The 18,141-nt window shown below is 47.5% G+C and overlaps 1 protein-coding gene across 8 annotated transcripts in view, besides 1 other annotated feature; it reads right to left on the bottom strand.

The window, feature by feature from the left end:
• Nucleotides 1-11,902, bottom strand: part of FAT2 (FAT atypical cadherin 2) — a 90,728-nt gene extending 78,826 nt beyond the window's left edge. For 4 of the 8 annotated variants that reach the window (XR_007058588.1, NM_001447.3, XM_047416934.1 and 1 more), the window contains exon 1: nt 8,248-8,414. The gene's annotated coding sequence lies outside the window, so the exon portion shown is untranslated. Of the gene's footprint in view, nt 1-6,444; nt 6,710-8,247; nt 8,415-9,106; nt 9,263-9,581; nt 9,675-10,247; nt 10,330-11,822 lie in introns of those variants that run through there. The other 4 variants (XM_011537600.3, XM_017009224.2, XM_017009225.2 and 1 more) reach the window with 4 other exon arrangements.
• Nucleotides 12,190-12,711: an enhancer, noted in NCBI's record as "H3K27ac-H3K4me1 hESC enhancer chr5:150974668-150975189 (GRCh37/hg19 assembly coordinates)". NCBI's record gives its function as "activates a minimal SCP1, AML or CMV promoter by ChIP-STARR-seq in primed H9 embryonic stem cells {active_cell/tissue: H9 hESC(primed)}" and the evidence as "EXISTENCE:reporter gene assay evidence [ECO:0000049][PMID:30033119]".

Genomic DNA, 18,141 nt, shown 5'->3' on the forward strand with positions numbered 1-18,141 from the left:
AAGAGCAGACGGGAGAGGGAAAGCAACAGATCTGAGCTTCATGCCTAACTTTATCACCTGGAAGTCTCTGAGCCTACACATATCACTGTCTGCACACGCCTCTGTTCATCAGCATCTCCAACCCCAGAGGCAGCTGTTCATCTTCCTGAGGTCTTTCTATCTCCTAGATAGAGACTGAACCCTGGGAAGCCATGTTCTACTTGTAATAAATAGAACTTAACCTGAAAATAAGAGAGTTCCATTCATATATGCACACCTCATGACCCAGCGGTTCCACTCCTAGGTCAACATAAGTGTGAACATATGTTCACCAAAAGATTCATCACAAGACTATTCAAAGCAGCACTAGTTATAGCAGCCCCAAATTGGAAACAAACCAAATGGCTATCAAGAGCAGAATGGACAAGTATATTTCAGTATGGTCATATAATGGAATACTATACAGCAAAGCAAATGAACTATTGTTCTAGGTGACAATAGAGATGAATCCTATTCACATAATACGGGGCAAAAGAAGTCATATATTAAAAAGTACATACTGTGGTAGTCCATGTTTATAAAGTTTAAAAACAGGCAAAACAAATCTATAGATTAGATTAAGATAGTGTCACTCTTACATGGGAGGGAAGTGGTGAGTGACTGAAAAGGGTACAAAGAGGGTTTCTGGAATAGTAGTAATATTCTATTTATTAATCTGGGAGCTGGTTAGTTTCTGGAAAATTCATTGAGCTGTACACTTATGATTTGTGCACTTTTCTGTATGCATATTATACTCCATTAAAAAGTTCTTTTTTTAGGGGCCAGGCATGGTTGCTTGCGCCAGTAATCCCAACACTTTGGGAAGCCGAGTTGGGTGGATCACTTGAGGTCAGGAGTTCAAGACCAGCCTGGCCAACATGGGGAAACCCCATCTCTAGTAAAAATAAAAAAATTAGCTGGGTGCGATGACACACACATGTAATCCCAGCTACTTGGGAGATTGAGGCACAAGAATCACTTGGGCCTCGGAGGCAGAGGTTGCAGTGAGCTGAGATTGCACCACTGCACTCCAGCCTGGGTGACGGAGTGAGGCTCTGTCTCAAAAAAAAAAAAAAAAAAAAAAAAAAGTTTTTTTTAAACACTAGTAAAGGACTTCAAAGAAGACTTTAATTAAAAAAGAAGACATTAAAATAATAAAAGCGTTTGGACTACCTGCAAATTGCATAGGATTTCACAGCTATGGGATCTTGGACCCTTCCTGCCCTAGGAACCAGGAAGGAGACAGTTCTCAGAAACCAAGAAGCTCAGGAACCATGCCAGGGCATACCAGGGCTGTGGAAAACCGACACCTCAATGATTCCCTTTACCCTCCCCTGCCCGGCCTGCCCACACAGAACCGCGAGGACAATGGCAAGCCCACTTTCCACAGGGTTCCCAGGCTTAGCTGGGTTCCAGCTCATTGGGGCTTACTTCCTGCAGCATTTTTCTGTTCTTGGAGCAATATTCTGGTCCGTTTTCTTATTTAATTCCTTCAAAGACCCTATGAAGGAAGCAAGTCAAGGCCAGGAGATGGGGGCTCAAAAGACTTGTCCAAGGTCATACCGCTAGCAAGTGGCCCGGTCAAGACTCAAACACAAAACTTCAGATGCCAGATTTAGTACTCCCTTGGCTGCACCGCATACGGTCTCTGCCCAGTATAATAGTAACGTTGATTATAGCACCTAGCACTTAGTGAGCGCTTGTGCTGTGGATGTCTCAGTGTCTTTCAGCAACCCACAAAGGCAGGTACTATCCTTTCATCTATCTCCATTTTACAAATGAAAAAACTGAGGGTCAGAAAGGCCACGTGCCTTGTCCAAGGTCAATGGCCAGTCAGTGTGGAGCACGGATTGGAACAAATGATCTATCTGACTTGAGTCCAAACTCTGAACCACTAGTCCAATGGCTACCAAGTCCAGTTAGACCTCACCTTGAGCCCCCTTGGAGCTTAAAAAATATATATAGATTCCTGTCCTTCACCCTCACACTCCTCCATCTAATTTTGTAGACTTAGGATGGGGCTAAGTAATTTGTATTTTTTAAAAAACAGCCCCAGACATTTGGGAAACTTGCCTCTAAATTAGGCTGCCCCTGAAATATGACAGTAAAAATGAAATAATTTAAGGTAAAGTTTAATTTAGCAACTTCCAAATTAACTCGCTGGACCTCTCTAATAATTGGAGTTCTCCTAACAATAGTAAATAGCCCCTAAAGAAGGAGTGATGTGGCTATCCTCAGAGGCATTAAGAATAGCCTGGCCATCTGAATAAGAGTCACTCAGCAGGGGCCAGTGACTGGCAACGGGCACCAGGGGGATCTCAGGGGGCTGGGAATGTCTGCTTTTTGTGCCAGTTACTGGTTAGCCACCATTCGAGTTCACTTTATAAAAATTTATCAGCTGTGGCCAGGCTCATGCCTATAATCCCAGCACTTTGGGAGGCCAAGGCAGGTTGGATCACTTGAGGTCAGGAGTTCGAGACCAGCCCGACCAACATGGTGAAACCCCATCTCTGCTAAAAATACAAAATTAGCTGGGCGTGGTGGCACATGCCTGTAATCCCAGCTACTCTGGAGGCTGAGTCAGGAGAATCACTTGAATCCGGGAAGTGGAGTTTGCAATGAGCTGAGTTTGCATCATTGCACTCCAGCCTGGGCAACAGAGCAAGATTCTGTCTCAAGGAAAAAAATATATATATATCAGCTGTAACTTACAATTTATGCACTCTGTTTTTGAATTTGTCAGACACTACCAGGACAGAGTAGAGAGTGTACCAGGGATCTGATAGGGTTCTCTAATATATGCTTCCAAGAGTTTGAGCTTCTAGGAATTTTTCAAGATGCTATAATTCTCTGAGTCAATTCCCAAGACTTCAGGAGCCCCCAAATCTATAATAGTAACTAACATTTAGAGAGCTCTTAGCTTGTGCCGACTATGCTAAACACTCTACACACATCAACTCTCAGCAGCTCTGTGTGATAGGTAGCATTATACAACTCTCAGAAAGGTGGAATCATGTGTTAAGGTAACAGAGATGGAAAGTGTTAAGGCCAGGACTGGAACTCAAGCACCCCGACTCCAGAGCTCACGTGCCATACTGATAGCCATCTCTACCGCTTCCTCAGGCTAAGCTTCCAAGGGTCCAAAATGATACGTTTGGCACCATTGAGCCTTGCATTTGATGGGAAGACCCTGAGGGGAGAGGATGCTGCAGGGACAGGCAGCAGCTCTGACACTGGACACGTGAGCACATGCAGGCCAACACGTGCACACATGCTGACGTTACTGTACCACTGGCGTGTTTCATCCTGCTTGGCTTGTGCCCAGGCCAACTGCTGCGGGCACTGGAGCCAAATGGGAACCAGAGAATTCTCCTCTGTGAGCTCCCTGCCCCCAGCCAGCGGAAGGATAGATGGCATTTTCCTGTTGCCTCAGGTGGTCTTGCAGGGGCCGCCCAGGAACAGAAAAAGGGGCAAGGGAAGATTTCTGTCTTTTGCAGACCTACACTGGAAAATGCTTATGACATCGCCCCTTTCAGGAAGAGATGGATTTCAGAAGATAATTTGTTAATCAATGGGTAGTGGTGGAATATCAGGCACTGTGGTCGGCCAAGGGGGAGAAAACAGGATATCTTAGCCTTCTAATCTGACTCCTTTCCTTAAATTGGTGTTCTACCTCACGGGCAGGTAGGTCTACCTAGCCAAAGCACTCTAACTTAAACTCCTTTAACAGTCCTCCAATGTTTATAAAATAAAAGCCATGCTCCTAAAAATACTTTCTGAATTCTTTCTGTTTTAAAGAGATATATGGAAATATTTTCAGGTGCAATCATATATCTGGGATTTTTGCTTCAAGATAATCTGATAGGGGAAGAGTTGGTAGAAGTATAGAGGAAATATAATTGTTGACCAGGCACAGTGGCTCAGGCTGGGCGCAGTGGCCCACGCTTGTAATCCCAGCACTTTGGGAGGTCGAGGCAGGCAGATCACTTGAGGTCAGGAGTTCAAGACCAGCCTGGGGCAACATGGTGAAACCCTGTCTCTACTACAAATACAAAAATTAGCTGGGTGTGATGTCACACGCCTGTAGTCCCAGCTACATAGGAGGCTGAGGCATGAGAATCACTTGAGCCCAGGAGGTGGAGGTTGCAGTAAGCCAAGATCATGTCACTGCTCTCCAACCTGGGCAACAGAATGAGGCTCCGTCTCAAAAAAACAAAAAACAAAACAAAACAAAAAAAAAACAAAAAAACCCAACATAATTGTTGAAGCTGAGTGATAGGGCTTCTTTGCACCATTCTGTTTACTTCTGTGTATGTCTATAATTTTCCTTCAATAGTACATTATATATATGTGACATTTTTTTGAAAATGACATGCTCCTTGGCCTGACACATACAAAAAAGAGGTAGGCTGGGGCCTTCAATGATCTGGCCCCAACCTATCTCTCAGACCATGTCTCCAGGTGTTCCCCACCCAATTTATAGGTTCCTGCACGCATCTGCTGTTTTCTTTAACTGCGGGGCCTTTGCATGTGTTATTTTCCCTCTGTTAAATGCCTTTCCCACTTTTCTTTCCTTATTTAACTCTCATTCAGCCTTTAAAACTGATGTTCAGTGCCAACTCCTCCAAGAGCTTCATTGAATCTATAACCCAGCTACTGTCACTCCTCCTCTGGGTCTCCATGCCAGCCTGGGTTTGCCTGTGTTTTACCACCTACCCCAAGATATTAAACCACCCATTTATGGGTCTGCCTCTATCAACTGTGAGTCTTTGGGGGCCTGACACATTATAACTGCTCATTAAGTGTCTATTAAGATAACAGAACCGTGTGACTTACAGGGATTAGCTTAACCTTTCTGAGTCTCTATTCATGGTCTCCACACTGAAAACAATGACAACAACAAGAAGCAGTAGAGGGTGATGTGGGCAGTTGTGCAGAGTAGAAGAGAAGGAGTTTGTAAAAGGGCCTAACCTGGTGACCTGCACATACAGGGTCTAAGTCATTGCGAATTCTCACAAATAGCTCACTGTTGAGTGCGTGCCAACCCAGGCAAACTGGCTGTGTGACATCTGTAAAATGGGAGCAATGATTCTTCAAGGGAGACTTCAGAGAATTCCCAAGGGTTCTTCGAGTTGTACAGTTACAGCTATCTGTTGACTCACTGGCAATAGTGATGGAGTGGTGTGTGTGTATGTGTGTGTGGGTGTATGTGTGTGTTGGTGCATGTTGAGAGAGAGGAGTCTGATTGATGATGTTTTTGTCCCCTGGAGGGCAGCTTACAATCCAGAGATCAACCTCATTGCTGATCCCACATTGCCTCTGGAGGATGTGGGAGCCAACTGGCCTTCAAGACTGATCTGCCACTTACATAAAAAACAGGAACATCTCCTGAACTGGGCTAGGCAAGTGAAACAGAGGCAAGTCCAAGTTCTGCATAGTGGTCTGGTTTTCCCCACTGCTGTGTGACCTTAGTCAAGTTACCAGACTTCCCTGGTGAGGCCTCACCGTTACCAACTGTCTGACTCAGTGATCTCTAAGCGCCCTTCCACTGGACTGTATCTATGAATGGGTTGGGGCTAATACTTAGTCCTCCAGTAAGCAGCAGTTCTCATCTATGAATTCAAAATGAAGATTCATTCATTCATTCAGCAGATAGGCAATGAGCTTCTTTTCTGTGCCAGGCACTGTCCTGGACCCAGGCGCCAGGGCAGTGAGCAAGACAGACCCATGGCTTATCTTAGTAGGAGAGCCAATATAAAATAAGTCACACAAATAATTAATAATTATAATTATGACCAGTCTTAGGGAGGAACACTTCAAGGTGCTGTGAGATGATACCCACTCTAGGAGGAAGAGAGAAGAATCAATTATTTGATGACTGTGAACATAATAAATAAGGCCCTACACATTTCTTGCATTACCTTCCATGCACCCCCTCATTTCTCACATCAATTCTCTGAAGAAAGAACTATGATGATCCCCATCTTTCAAATGAGGAGCCTGAGGTTTTTAGAGAAGTTGAGGCCCAGGTCACATGGCTAATAATATCCGGGAGTTGGACCCACACTTTACTTTGTAAACCTGTCTATAAACCTCCATCATAAATGTGAGTGTTAGTACTATTAGTCCTAGAAATACTAGTATTGAGGCTCTGAGCTAGCTCAGTTTGCATTCTAGGGGCTCAGGGATCATAGGAGGCTTTTAGAGGTCATGTCCTTCCCCACTCAAAATGAATCCAAAAGACAGGGTTTATCCAGGGGGTACAGGCATGTCCCCAACCGTACCAACTCCATCTCCCCCCAGACACACACAGGCTGTCTCTAAAACTTAATGCCTGCCTGACAGCCTCTCCCACCTGGCCTTAACTGGCCAGCACCAGGCCAGTGCCACACAGCCTGTCATAAAGCATCTGGAAGGAGAACTTACAGGCCAAGGTGAGTTCAGTCGCACTTAGGTTAGAGTATGCAGGAAGCTGAGCATCAGGCTAGCTGACATCATGGATTCAGTATCTTCCTGCCAGAAGTCTAACATGTACTCTATCGAGAGCCCTGGGGGAAGACCCTAGTTTGCCTCTTACAGGGACATGGAACATTGAGCCTCTCAAGGTTCTTCATCAGCAAGATGGAGACAATCACTCCTGCTCTGTCTACCCAACAGAATGGATTCAGAAGGGATCTTGGCCAGGTGTGGTGGCTCATGCCTGTAACCCCAGCACTTTAGGGGGCCAAGGTGGAAAAATTGCTTGAGCCCAAGAGTTCAAGACCAACCTGAGCAACATAGTGAGACCCCATCTCTACAAAAAAACATTTTTTTTAATTAGCCAGGTGTGGTGGTGTTTGTCTGTGGTCCTAGCTACCCAGGAGGCTGATGTGGGAGGATTGCTTGGGCCCAGGAGGTGGAAGCTGCATGATAATGCCACTGCATTCCAGCCTGGGTGACAGAGAGAGACCCTGTCTCAAAATAAATAAATATTTAATAAAGGGAGGAGAGGATCTTAACAAACATCCAACTGCCTTTATTTTATATGTTCAGACATAGGCCCAGAGAGGTAAGAAACCGTCCTAGGCCACACAGCCTGTGAGTCACAGAGACATGATTAATGAAATTCTCTTCCCACTCTGCCACACTGCCTGGATTTGAAACCTCAAAAATTTCAAAAGACCATGCGTGCTCAGCATAGTCCCCAGGGCACAGGAAGCATTCAACGAGCATAAGCTGTAATAACTCTTAGTAGCAAGGCATGTTCACCTGTCCAGTCTCTGCTCCCACCTGTGAAGCAGGGCTGAAGGACTAGAAGCACCTACTTCCCAGCCTGCTTCTTCACCTCCTCCTCTCCCCTGAGTCCAGGCGCCAGCTCCAGATTGAGGCTGGGCACAGAGGCAGCATTTCTGAGCCCTTGGCAAACTTCTGCACTGCCTCACTGCTCCCCATGCTGGGGCAAATGGCACTGCACCGGCTCTGAGAACTGAACTCTAGCCCAGTGGCTCTGCTCAGCGTTCCACTCTGGCTCTCCTGCCTCCAGAGATATGCATCAGATTTCTGCTTTCCCCAAGACAGGGGAACAGGGCTGTTCCCACCCCAACAACTCCAGTGCTGTCTTGGTGCCACTCAGACTCATGGTCTTTCACAGCCCTCAGAGACTATGCATGCCCCCATTCTACAGTCAGGGAAGCTGAGGTCCTAATCTCAGCAGCTACAGGAGAACCAGGGCTGACCAGACTATCTGACTCTCCCTTAGCCGCCAGGTAGCTTTGTCTGTGATAAGGTTCCTATGCCCACCTGGACACACACAAGAAGCCAGCAACTCTCAATTCCTGGCCCTGGCACTTCCCCCTAAAAACTGCAGAGGAAATCTCCTCCATGTCCTCTTAAAGGCTCATCTCCAGAAAGCCCAAGTGGGGGATTTGATTCTTGCAGGACAAGAATCCAACTTTCCACGTGTGCAAATGTGACCTTCCTCTTCCACAAGATCACAGTCTCAGCCTTGCCCATTGCTGGGCCCCGATCCCCAGCCGCGGACTGGCTACCTCACTGGCTTCTTTCAGTGTACCTAGATGATCCAGGCCCAGATGTCCCTGTCTTCCCTCTCTGTGCCTGTTCCAGCCATCTCCTGCTTCCTTCTCTACCTTCCAGGAGCCCCCAACTCCAGCCTGCTTTGGAACCAGACTCAAGAATGGATTAACTTTGCTGCCCCCCTCCCGCATCTTCCCATCCTCCAGCAATTCTTACCTGTGCCCTTCAGGTAGGGGAGGGTGCCCCAGAGCAGGCTGCTGGGCTGGCGCCCCTCTCACGAGGGCCAGGCTGACAGGCTCCTGAGGGAGGTGCAGAGACTCGGAGCAGGAAGGCGCGCAGCCCGCAGCCGGAGAGGCTGCTGAGAAAGTTGGAGTAGGTGTGTCCCAGCCCAGGAGGAGGAGGAGGAGGAAAAAGGAGGTGGGAGAATTGAGGCGGATCATCCCCTCCTGCCAGCTCTCTGTCTCACGGAGAGGGAGGGAGGAAGCCAACTGGTTTGTGGCCCAGAACTCACGGTGGGGAATCAAGTCATGGAAAATGAAAGGAGCTGAGAAATCAGGCCCATCTCCACCTCCCTTCTTGGTTTCACCGAGGGATAAACTGAGGCCCTGGACAGGTAGTGTTGCCCCAGGTCACACAGTCACACAGAGACCACAAGGGAACTAGAAAAGGTCACTTGGCTGTCAGAACAGTAGTGTTCTCTCCACTCCTCCATGCTTCAGATCTGAGACTGACAACCACAGCACCCCTTTCCCCAGGGCTTTGGAGACGGACAGATTTGGTTCGAAACCCTGGCACTGCCACCTACTAGTTCAGTAAGCTTGGGTGAGTTACTTAGTCTGAGCCTCAGTTTCCTTTTTTGAAAAGATGGGGATAATAATAGCTCCTACCTCATAAGGTTGTTATGAGAATTAAATGAGATAAAGGTTGCTAAGAAACCAGTCAGGACTTAGCTGAGAAAGTCCCCCATAAAAGGTAATTCTTATTCTTATTGTTTTCAGCTGTGACTTCCCCACACCTGACTTACCCTCTCTAAGTTTGGGCTCCCCCATCTATTAAATGGAGGTAACAAGAATACCTGCTTCATAAGGTTGTACAGATTCATGAGACCGATTATGTGTGCATCACAAAGCACGGTGAGTGATGGCTCACTGGGGTGCAGGACGCCTTGGCTTTGATGCGTTTTATGAGGTGCCTCTCTGTTCTGGCTCCCCATATAATTCCATTACGCACCCTGTGTTGAGAACCAGTGTTTTAAGGGAAAGGGAGAAGAGTTAGACAAGGATTAGCACTCCTCTCCCCTGCTGCCACGTTTTTAGTTATAGAACACATTTGTTTGCTCGTTTTGTATGTTCATGCACAGGTGAGGCCCATGTCTACCTTTTCCCAGACACCGTACTAGGCCCTGGGGACACAGAGGTAAATGAAATCGCTCCTGCCCCACAAAACTGAAAGCAACTCTGCAACCATTCTGTCCAATCCCCTCCCTCCCCCCAGGTCTTGAAGCCCCTCTGCAACATTCCTGGCAAATAAGTGAGTCTTTGCTTGCATACCTCTAATTACAAGAAGCTTATCACCTCTCCCAGCAATCAGTTTGAGCTCTTAGCAATTCTAGCTGATGTTCAGCTGAGCAGCAACTCTTCCACCTGGTTAATAAATAAGAATTATTCATACCGTTGTTAATGCTTTTATTATTATTAGCTATGTATCCCAAGGCAAATGACTTAAATTTGTTAAGTCTCTGTCTCCGCATTTGTTAAATGGGGTCACAACTGTGCTGGGACCACTCAGAACAGATCCGTTTCCCCTGCCGTGTGACAAAACTGAGGCCTGGTTCTATGGCTAGGACTTAGGTGTCTAGAAGTTTAGCCTGGACCCTATGAATTAGTGAAACCATGAAGGTTCTGGTCTTGTTGCTTATACAGGAGCAATGAGGCTTTTTGCTGTTTCCTGGCTCTCAGTGAGATGTTTATGCAGCTGCTGCAGCCACTGTGAGTTGTGCCTTCAGGGACCTGTCACCAGCATCCAGGATGACCACAGGCATCAAGCAGGCTGCTATGGTGTGTTGCTCAAGATGTCCAGAGGGATTCCCCACCAGTAGGATTCTCTGAGGCTTCCCTCCTACAAGCTGCCTCCGCCCCGGATGAGAGGCCCAGGGAGTTGCAGGGTGAGGGGACCTACTGTGATCGACTCCCAGGGAGCCTGTGATCAAGGCTAACCTGAGCAATTATCCACTTGGCTGATTGCCACTCAAGCCTCCAAGTTTGGTCCGATTAGGCATTAACCAGAGGAAGGGTGGCGGGGCAGCCCCACGGGCCCTTTGATTAGTCACGTGCAGAGTAGCAGGCGACTGTCTTCCCTCGGGGGCCAAGGCTGGGCTCCAGCCTGTCCAGCGCAGGGACTGTCTGCAGCCTATTGCAGGAGGGGGAGATGGGTATCAGGATGGATTTCAGAGCCTCTTAAGGCTGCTGGCATCCATCCCCTTCTCCCCGGCTCCCTTACCACTCTCCTGACCCACTCCTGGTCCTTCTCCCTGCTGGCCCCAGGACCTTTCTGGTGGGTCTTCAAGCCTCCAGTCTCCCATGCACCAGGGAAATTGACTCCTAGTGCCCTCCAAGCATGCTCAGAAACTTCTCATTCCCTGATATCTAAAATTCTCTCTCTTCCTGCTGAAATTGTACCTCTCTGTGTTGGTATAGCTCATATTCCACTCCCCTTTGTGAGCACATCCTGACCAAGCCTTTGACCTGACCAAGAAGTAATAATAATAATAATAGGCTGGGCGCAGTGGCTCACACCTGTAATCCCAGCACTTTGAGAGGCCGAGGCGGGTGGATCACGAGGTCAGGAGGTCGAGACCATCCTGGCCAACATGGTGAAATCCTGTCTCTACTAAAAGCATAGAAAATTAGCTGGGTGTGGTGCCGTGTGCCTGTAATCCCAGCTACTCAGGAGGCTGAGGCAGGAGAATCGCTTGAACCCGGGAGGTGGAGGTTACAGTGAGCCAAGATCACGCCACTGCACTCTAGCCTGGTGACAGAGCAAGACTCCATCTCAAATAATAATAATAAAATAATAACAGCTCATCTTTATGTCAGCACTCTGCATGAATTATCTAATTTCTCTGAATACCACCACAATGGATTAGGTGCTATTATCATTCTCTGTGTTTCAGATGAAGAAACTGAAGCTCAGAAAAGCTTTAATTACTTGGCCAAGGTCACTGGTCTAGACTCAGCTAAGATCCAAGCCCCGGTCTGTCTGAAGCCCTTAACCCAGCATTTTGTGCACTGCCTGGGTCTCCCCTCTCCTCACAACCCCTGTGTGACCCTGGCCTGGCGTGTGCCTCTCTTCACTTTAGCTCCCTCCCTACTCTATTGGAAGTTCCTCAGGGATGGGTCTATATCTAACTCAGTGGTTCTCAATCAAGGCTGCACATTGGCATCACCTGGGAAGCCCAGGCCCCAGACCCAAACCAATTACATCAGACTTCCTGTGGGTAGGACCCAGGCATCAGTATTCATAACTGATTCTGAAGCCCTTTCCTGGACCTCAGCGTCCCTCTTTCAATAACGGAGGTGTTGAACTCTGATCTTTAACATCCACCTCTAACATTCTAGAGTTCTAAAGTTTTTACAGGGGTGCCGCCGTAGGCTTCTAAAGAAAGAACTAGAAGAGTCATGTCCATTTCCCCTATTTGCCTGGGGAAAGCTGTCTTCTTCCCTATGAACTGGGTGAGCTCTTTCTCCCTCCCTCCTGGACTTTTCTTTCTAGAGCAATACAGCCACACTCACCTAATGAGCAACGATGTAAATGAGGGGACGGAGCAGAGGACCCTCTGACCAGGCAGCAGATTTCAGGGTGCCCATAAAGTCTGGAAGCATAGACAGCATTATTTTAATTTTTGAGATTGAACCCCCTTGACTCCTTCTGGGGCAGGCTAAAGGCTCAGATTTGTTCAGTGAAAACCAAACACAAATCATCAGAGGAGGCATGTCATGGATGCTTGTACAGGGTTGGCTGACCAACTGTCCCAGTTGGCCTGGGACTTGAGGGGTTTCCCAGGATGCAGAACTTTCAATAACTGTGACAGTCCCAAGAAAACCAGAATGGCTGGTCACCCTAGTTGAGGGAACTGCTGCATGACTGCACTGCATGCGTCGCATACACAGGGTAGGTGCCAAGTGAGTGTCGTCCACCTTAGAAGACCAGTCTCAAGAGAGGATTCAGCCCACTGGGGACAGTTGGCTGATGGACTGGTTACATTGTGACACGTTCAGTGACTATGAAGTGCAAACTGTTCTTCCAGGTTGAGGCCCCTTTACACTGCATTCTCCTTGGGGAAGGTCACAGAGCAGGATGAGAATGGAACCGGGAGACAGGAACAAAGCAGAGACCCTGAAGCCTGGTCTGTGGGCAGAAAAGCCTCTAGAGGCCCGACTATCAAAGGGACATGATGCCTTTAAGGAGGATGAAGTCATCGGGGGATGAGGCCACCTGGCTCTGCAGCCAGGGCTGCTGCCGAAAAGGAGGAGCAGAAGGTGGAAGGTAGGTGGGCCGTGGGGGCCAGGCTTGGGATGGCAGCTCTGTGGCTGACAGACGGAACTCAGCAGGAGTGGGAACGGCCAGCCCTGGCATTGCCTGGGGTGCCCGGGAATGTAATCAAACACTCAGCAGACCTGCTGGCCATAGGCATCTGGGCACCACCGGGCTCTCCAGCTCATCCTGACCCCCAGCCGGCAGTTCTGACAGGCTCCTACCAGTAGAAGCGTCCGGCCTTGTTGGCCAGGTCTGTGGGCATGAGCTCATCTGCTGCCAGCCCAGTCCTCAGTCGGCCTGGCCCAGGCTGCTGCTGGTGGGTGGGGCTCCAGGGTGAGTGCACTGGAGCTGGGCTGGCTGGTTCAATGGCCTTGGTTAGGTCTCCCCAGTGGGACGCCACTCTGAAGACTTGAAATAGAACCTCTGATGTTATCCCCACCCTTACCTGCCCTGAGATTTGCAGCTCTGATGTGGCCATGGCCCAGGGAACCAGTACCCCTTCCTTGTCCCTTTCTTCATAACCACAAACTGTATTTCCAGCATCATCTCCCATTTTTCCCCATTGCATAGTAATAATAACAACAACAATATTTGCAGTAATAATGACAATATTTGTTCTAATTTATTATGTACTAGGCTGAGCATCATTTCATTTAATCCTGAAATTGATCTTCCCTATGAGGCCTTAAGTTGGTGCAAAAGTAATTGAGGTTTTTGCCATTGAAAATAATAATACTATTATTATCATTCTCATTTTGCAGAGGATGGAACTCAGAGTCCGAGAGATTTAAGTGACTTGTCTAAGGTTATCGTACCTTTAAATGGTAGAGCTAGGATTTGAACTAAGTCTATCTGGCTTCAAGATATATGTTCTTAGCTACCACTGTTAGGCTATAGTCCAACCAAATCACAGGATTTGGACTCATGGACATGCCACTTGCACTTGTAGAGAGACCCACACTTGATTCTACTCTGCTGTCTCTGTCTTGCAAATGCCAATCACTTTTGAATAAGGTTCCCCACATTTTCATTCTGCATTGAGCCCTGCAAATTATGTAGCTAGTTCTGCAAATCAGCTAGCCTGTGGGTCGCCAGCTACAGCCTATCACCCTCTAATGCCTATGCTGTCTCTCTGCCTAGACTGTCATTCCACTCACACCTACCAGGTTCATCATAAGACCGTCTGCTCAGGACCATCTCTATGAACTACTAGAGGTTTCCTGCCATCGTGGAGCACAGATTGCTCTGTTCAGGCCTCACAGTGAAATCAGGACAAGATATTCCTGCGTAGTCCTCATTCCCTTGCTGCGCTTGTCAGGGAAGTGGAGCACAGGGTAAAGTTTGAACTTGAAGTTGGGCAGATCTGGATTCAAACCCAGCTCTGCAGCTGTGTGGCCTTGGATAAGTAATTAAAACTCTCTGAGGAGTTTCCTCATCTGCCAAATAGAGATGATAACAGTTCTTGTCTTGCATAGGTTATCATGAGGATTACATAAGGTGATGAATTGGTGGTAATACACTAAGCACTGTGCCTAGGGCCAAGTGGAAGCTTCCTGGATCCATTTGGTGTCTAATTTATCTGTAGATTTCCCATAGCTGTTTGCACATGCTGATGAAATGTGATGGGGCAGAGGATTTATAGATGCAAAATTGCTTTGGAGGTGCCAAAATACCACCTGTGTAGAGGAGTAGGACATGATTTTATGTGAAGAAACTGAGGCCTAGCAAGACTTGCCAGCCTGTTCAGAGCCCTACAGCCCTCCCTTGCCCACTCAGGGGCTTGGCTTCCACAGGTCACCTCAAGGCCAGTAGAGCAGGGGCCCTCATGGGCGGGAGCCTGCTCTCTGCTGCCTGAATTCCTGAGGCAGCTCTGACAGCTGTACTGGCCCTGTCTCCCTGGGCAGCCACATTCCAGACATTCTGCCCAGGCTAGGAAGAGGCTGGCCCTGAGGGGAGAGACCCTGCGGAGCCCCAACCTAGACAGAGATAGCAAGAAGAGAGGCAGGGGTCTTCTGGGGAGTGGGGATTACTGGGCCACTCCAAACTCTCCTCACAGGCCAGGCCTCAGTCCCACCCAAGGCCCACAGTGCAGGGAGGATTGCTCAGGGAAAAGAGACTCAGTAGCCCCGTGGTTCTCTAACTTCAGAGTTTGTAGGAATCATCCATGGAGGTGGGAGACATGGAGTTGTTGAAAAATGCACATTCCAGGCCCCACGCGCATTATGAAGGGGCCCAGGATTCTGAGTTTTATTACTTTTTTAATTGACAAAAAGTATATATTTATGGTGTACAACAAGTTATTTTGAAATATGTTGTATTTTTAATTGAGCCTCCAAGAGGAGGCCGAACCAGGTTTGGGAGACTGATTCAATCCACTGTATGGATGAGGAAGCTGAGGTTAAGAGAGGGAAGGAGATTGCCCCAGGTCACCCAGCAACAAGGCTGTCAGGGTAGAGGCTGTGTGGTTCTCTCTGAGCCACTGCCCCTGCTGGAAACAGGAAGGAGCCTCGGGAGGAGGTCTGGGAACAGAGCAGCTCAAAGAAAAGTTGAGAAGATGAGCAGTGTTTGCCTTCCCCTTCTTCCCCCTTCTTGCCCCATCATTATCCCTGTTCCCCCAGCCAGAAACTGCTAACTGGACTAACTCAGCAGTGCACGGAGCCCTAGACCCCTCACACTCTGGTTGTGGACATCCATCACCCACCTCTCCTAGTGAGCTTCCTTTCTTGTCATTGTATGCAAGAGAACACACCATCTTGGAGTAAAATATCCTAGGATCAAACTCCATCTTATTCACTACTACGCTATGTGGTCTTGGGCAAATTCCTTAGCTTCTCTGACCCTCAAATTGCTCTTTTTTATGATAAGAGGTTGGACTAGACCAGCTTTTCTTAAAGTGGTCATCTCCACAGAAGCACTCCAAAGAAGCACCCAGAAACTTTTCTATGATGCAGATTCTTGGACCTCCAACCAGACAAAATAGGTGAAAATTTTTGAAGAAATCTGAACTTTAAAAAAATTTATTTACACAAATAATACATGATAACTTTTCCTAATAAAAATAATGAAACATTACATTTAAGGCTAAAGCCCTCTCTGCCATCACTACCAATACCCTTTCTAAAGACAGCCAATATAATCATTTTGGTATGTAATCTTTCTAAATATTTACATTCATATATAAGTATACCAGGGGGAAATATACAGAAATGGGTTGGTTGTGGCAAGGGGGTTGCTGAATAACATCTTATGTGTCATTTTGCAACTTTTTATTTTACTCAACAGTGTGTCTTAAGGTCTCTATCATGGAGTACACAGAGATCTACCCATGCTTTGAGCTTCCCAGGTTATTCTGGGGCTCATTCAAGTTTAAGAACTGCTGTGCTTGATAAACTGACATCTTTGGAGTCTCTGCTTTTAACATACGGAGGGCAAAATCAGCAAGCTATTTCCCAAGAGTGAGGGAAAGCCTGGCCTGATTGGAGTATCCTCGGCACTTGGACATGGACTTCATGGCTCAGATATCCCCTGTCAAGGGTGTGATTCCCCAAGATCCAGCTGGGGCACCTCCACTTACCTTCTTTTAGCACTCTCAGGGCCACTCCTTCCATCCCTTGACAGCCCCTGCTCACCCTGATGTGATCCATGCAGGTGAGAGCTGACTCAGGCTCTCTCTGCCACCCGGAAACTGGCTTCCTGTGGCTCTTGATGGGGCCTGACTGGTTTGACTTGGTGAGGCAGCTGTGATTTCCCAATACCTCCTCTCTGGGGATCTTCAGGCACACACCATCTGGCTCTGTGAGGACTTAGGAACTATCTGGGTGCAGAGAGGTGGTATTCTCCTCGCTGTCATCAGGCTGTCCTTTTCTGGGTTTCCCACCCTCCTCTGTAAAATGTTGTTTTCACTAATCTCTATGCCTAGCAAGAGCATCTAGCAAACATATGTATGCAAGATTTGTTGAAAGAATAAAAGTTGTAAAGTTCCTTCCAACTCCTAAGGACTGTGAATTTAAGCCCTCTATTGTGAGCAAAATGCTTGCCATTGTGTGTAGCCCTAGACTGGGAACTGAAGAAGGAATGAAACTCTTGAAAAGATACTGTCCTTGTCCTTGAGTTGCGAACAGTCTAGTTGGGGGTCCAGTCATCCACCCAGTGAATATTTCCCTGGAGTCTGACATAGGGCAGGAATGGAGCCAGATCATGGCAGTCAAGGAAGGACAAAGGGTCCACTCACAATCAATCAAAGAAGAACGTGGCCCAGGAGAGAGCAGAGACCATAGTCACATAGACTAAGGGTCCTGCAAAAAGGCCAGAGGAGAAAGCATTCAGTGGGGGCTGGAGTAGTCAGGAAAGATGAGCTAGATGGAGCGTGGGGCCAGGAGGTACAAGTAGAGAGAGTGCATGGCACATGGCAGGCTCTGGGTAAACGTTTGCCAAATTGAATAGGCAGATTTTTATAGAGACCAAGTCATAATAAATGAATACACAGAAATAGATGAATGTATTAAATAGATGACAGATATAAGCAGATGTGCGGATTCGTGGGCACAAGGATGGATGGACGGATGGATGGACGGATGGATGGATGGATGGATGGATGGATGGATGGATGGATGGATGGATGATGAACAAATTGATGGGCAAGCAAAGAGACAGATAATCTTGGTCCAGGTTTATCCAGTTTTGGGCCAGATATCCAAGTCTGAATTTGGCCCTTCTGCTTACTGACTCTTACTGGCCATGTGATAATATGGATTTTGTGCTGAAAAAGAGATAACCAGTCCAGCCTGCCACCCCAGGAAATTATGAGAATTGCCTGAAATAGCAGATGGTAGGGAGTTCTGCACAAAGCTGTATGCCATTGTCAGAGGACAGTGGTTATAAACACATTTAAAACAACATCTCAGTCCTAGATACACATCAACAGGACAATGCAAGGAATTCAGAGCTGGTAATATGAAGTGTGACTTTTAGAGGAATAGGATGTAGGAGCTGGAATTTATATTACACAACAGTAGGTCCTACTCCACCAAATAACAGTTGAGAAAGCTGAGGGCCTAATATTTTGGGGCTGCTTGAAGTCAGCATCTGGCTTACTCACTTTATCTTGCCATTTAAATCACGCCGTTCCTCCCTGATACCACACCTTCTGCTGTGATGCTCAACGCTGGCTTCCTTCTTTAGAATCACTTTGATAAACCAGCTTCAGGGTTCAGATCTAGAGCCCATCTATATCGGAATCACTTGGATGCTGCTATCATTTAAATGTTTGTGTCCTCTCTGAAATTCTTGTTGAAACTTAATCCTCCATGCAACTGTACTAAGAGATGGGGCCTTTAGGAGTTGATTAGGCCAAGAAGATTCCACCCTCATGAATGGGATTAGTGCCCTTGTGAAAGGGCTGTAGGGAAATAGCTAGGCCCTTTTGCCCTTCCATCTTTTCTGCTATGTGAGGACACAGCATTCATCCTCTCCGGAGGATGCAACAACAAGCTGTCATCTCAGAAGCAGAGACCTTGCCAGACCCTGAACTTGCCTGGCACCTTCATCTTAGACTTCCCAGTCTCCAGAACTGTG

The sequence above is a fragment of the Homo sapiens genome, chromosome 5 (genome assembly GCF_000001405.40).
Source record: "Homo sapiens chromosome 5, GRCh38.p14 Primary Assembly".
Lineage (NCBI taxonomy): Eukaryota > Metazoa > Chordata > Mammalia > Primates > Hominidae > Homo > Homo sapiens.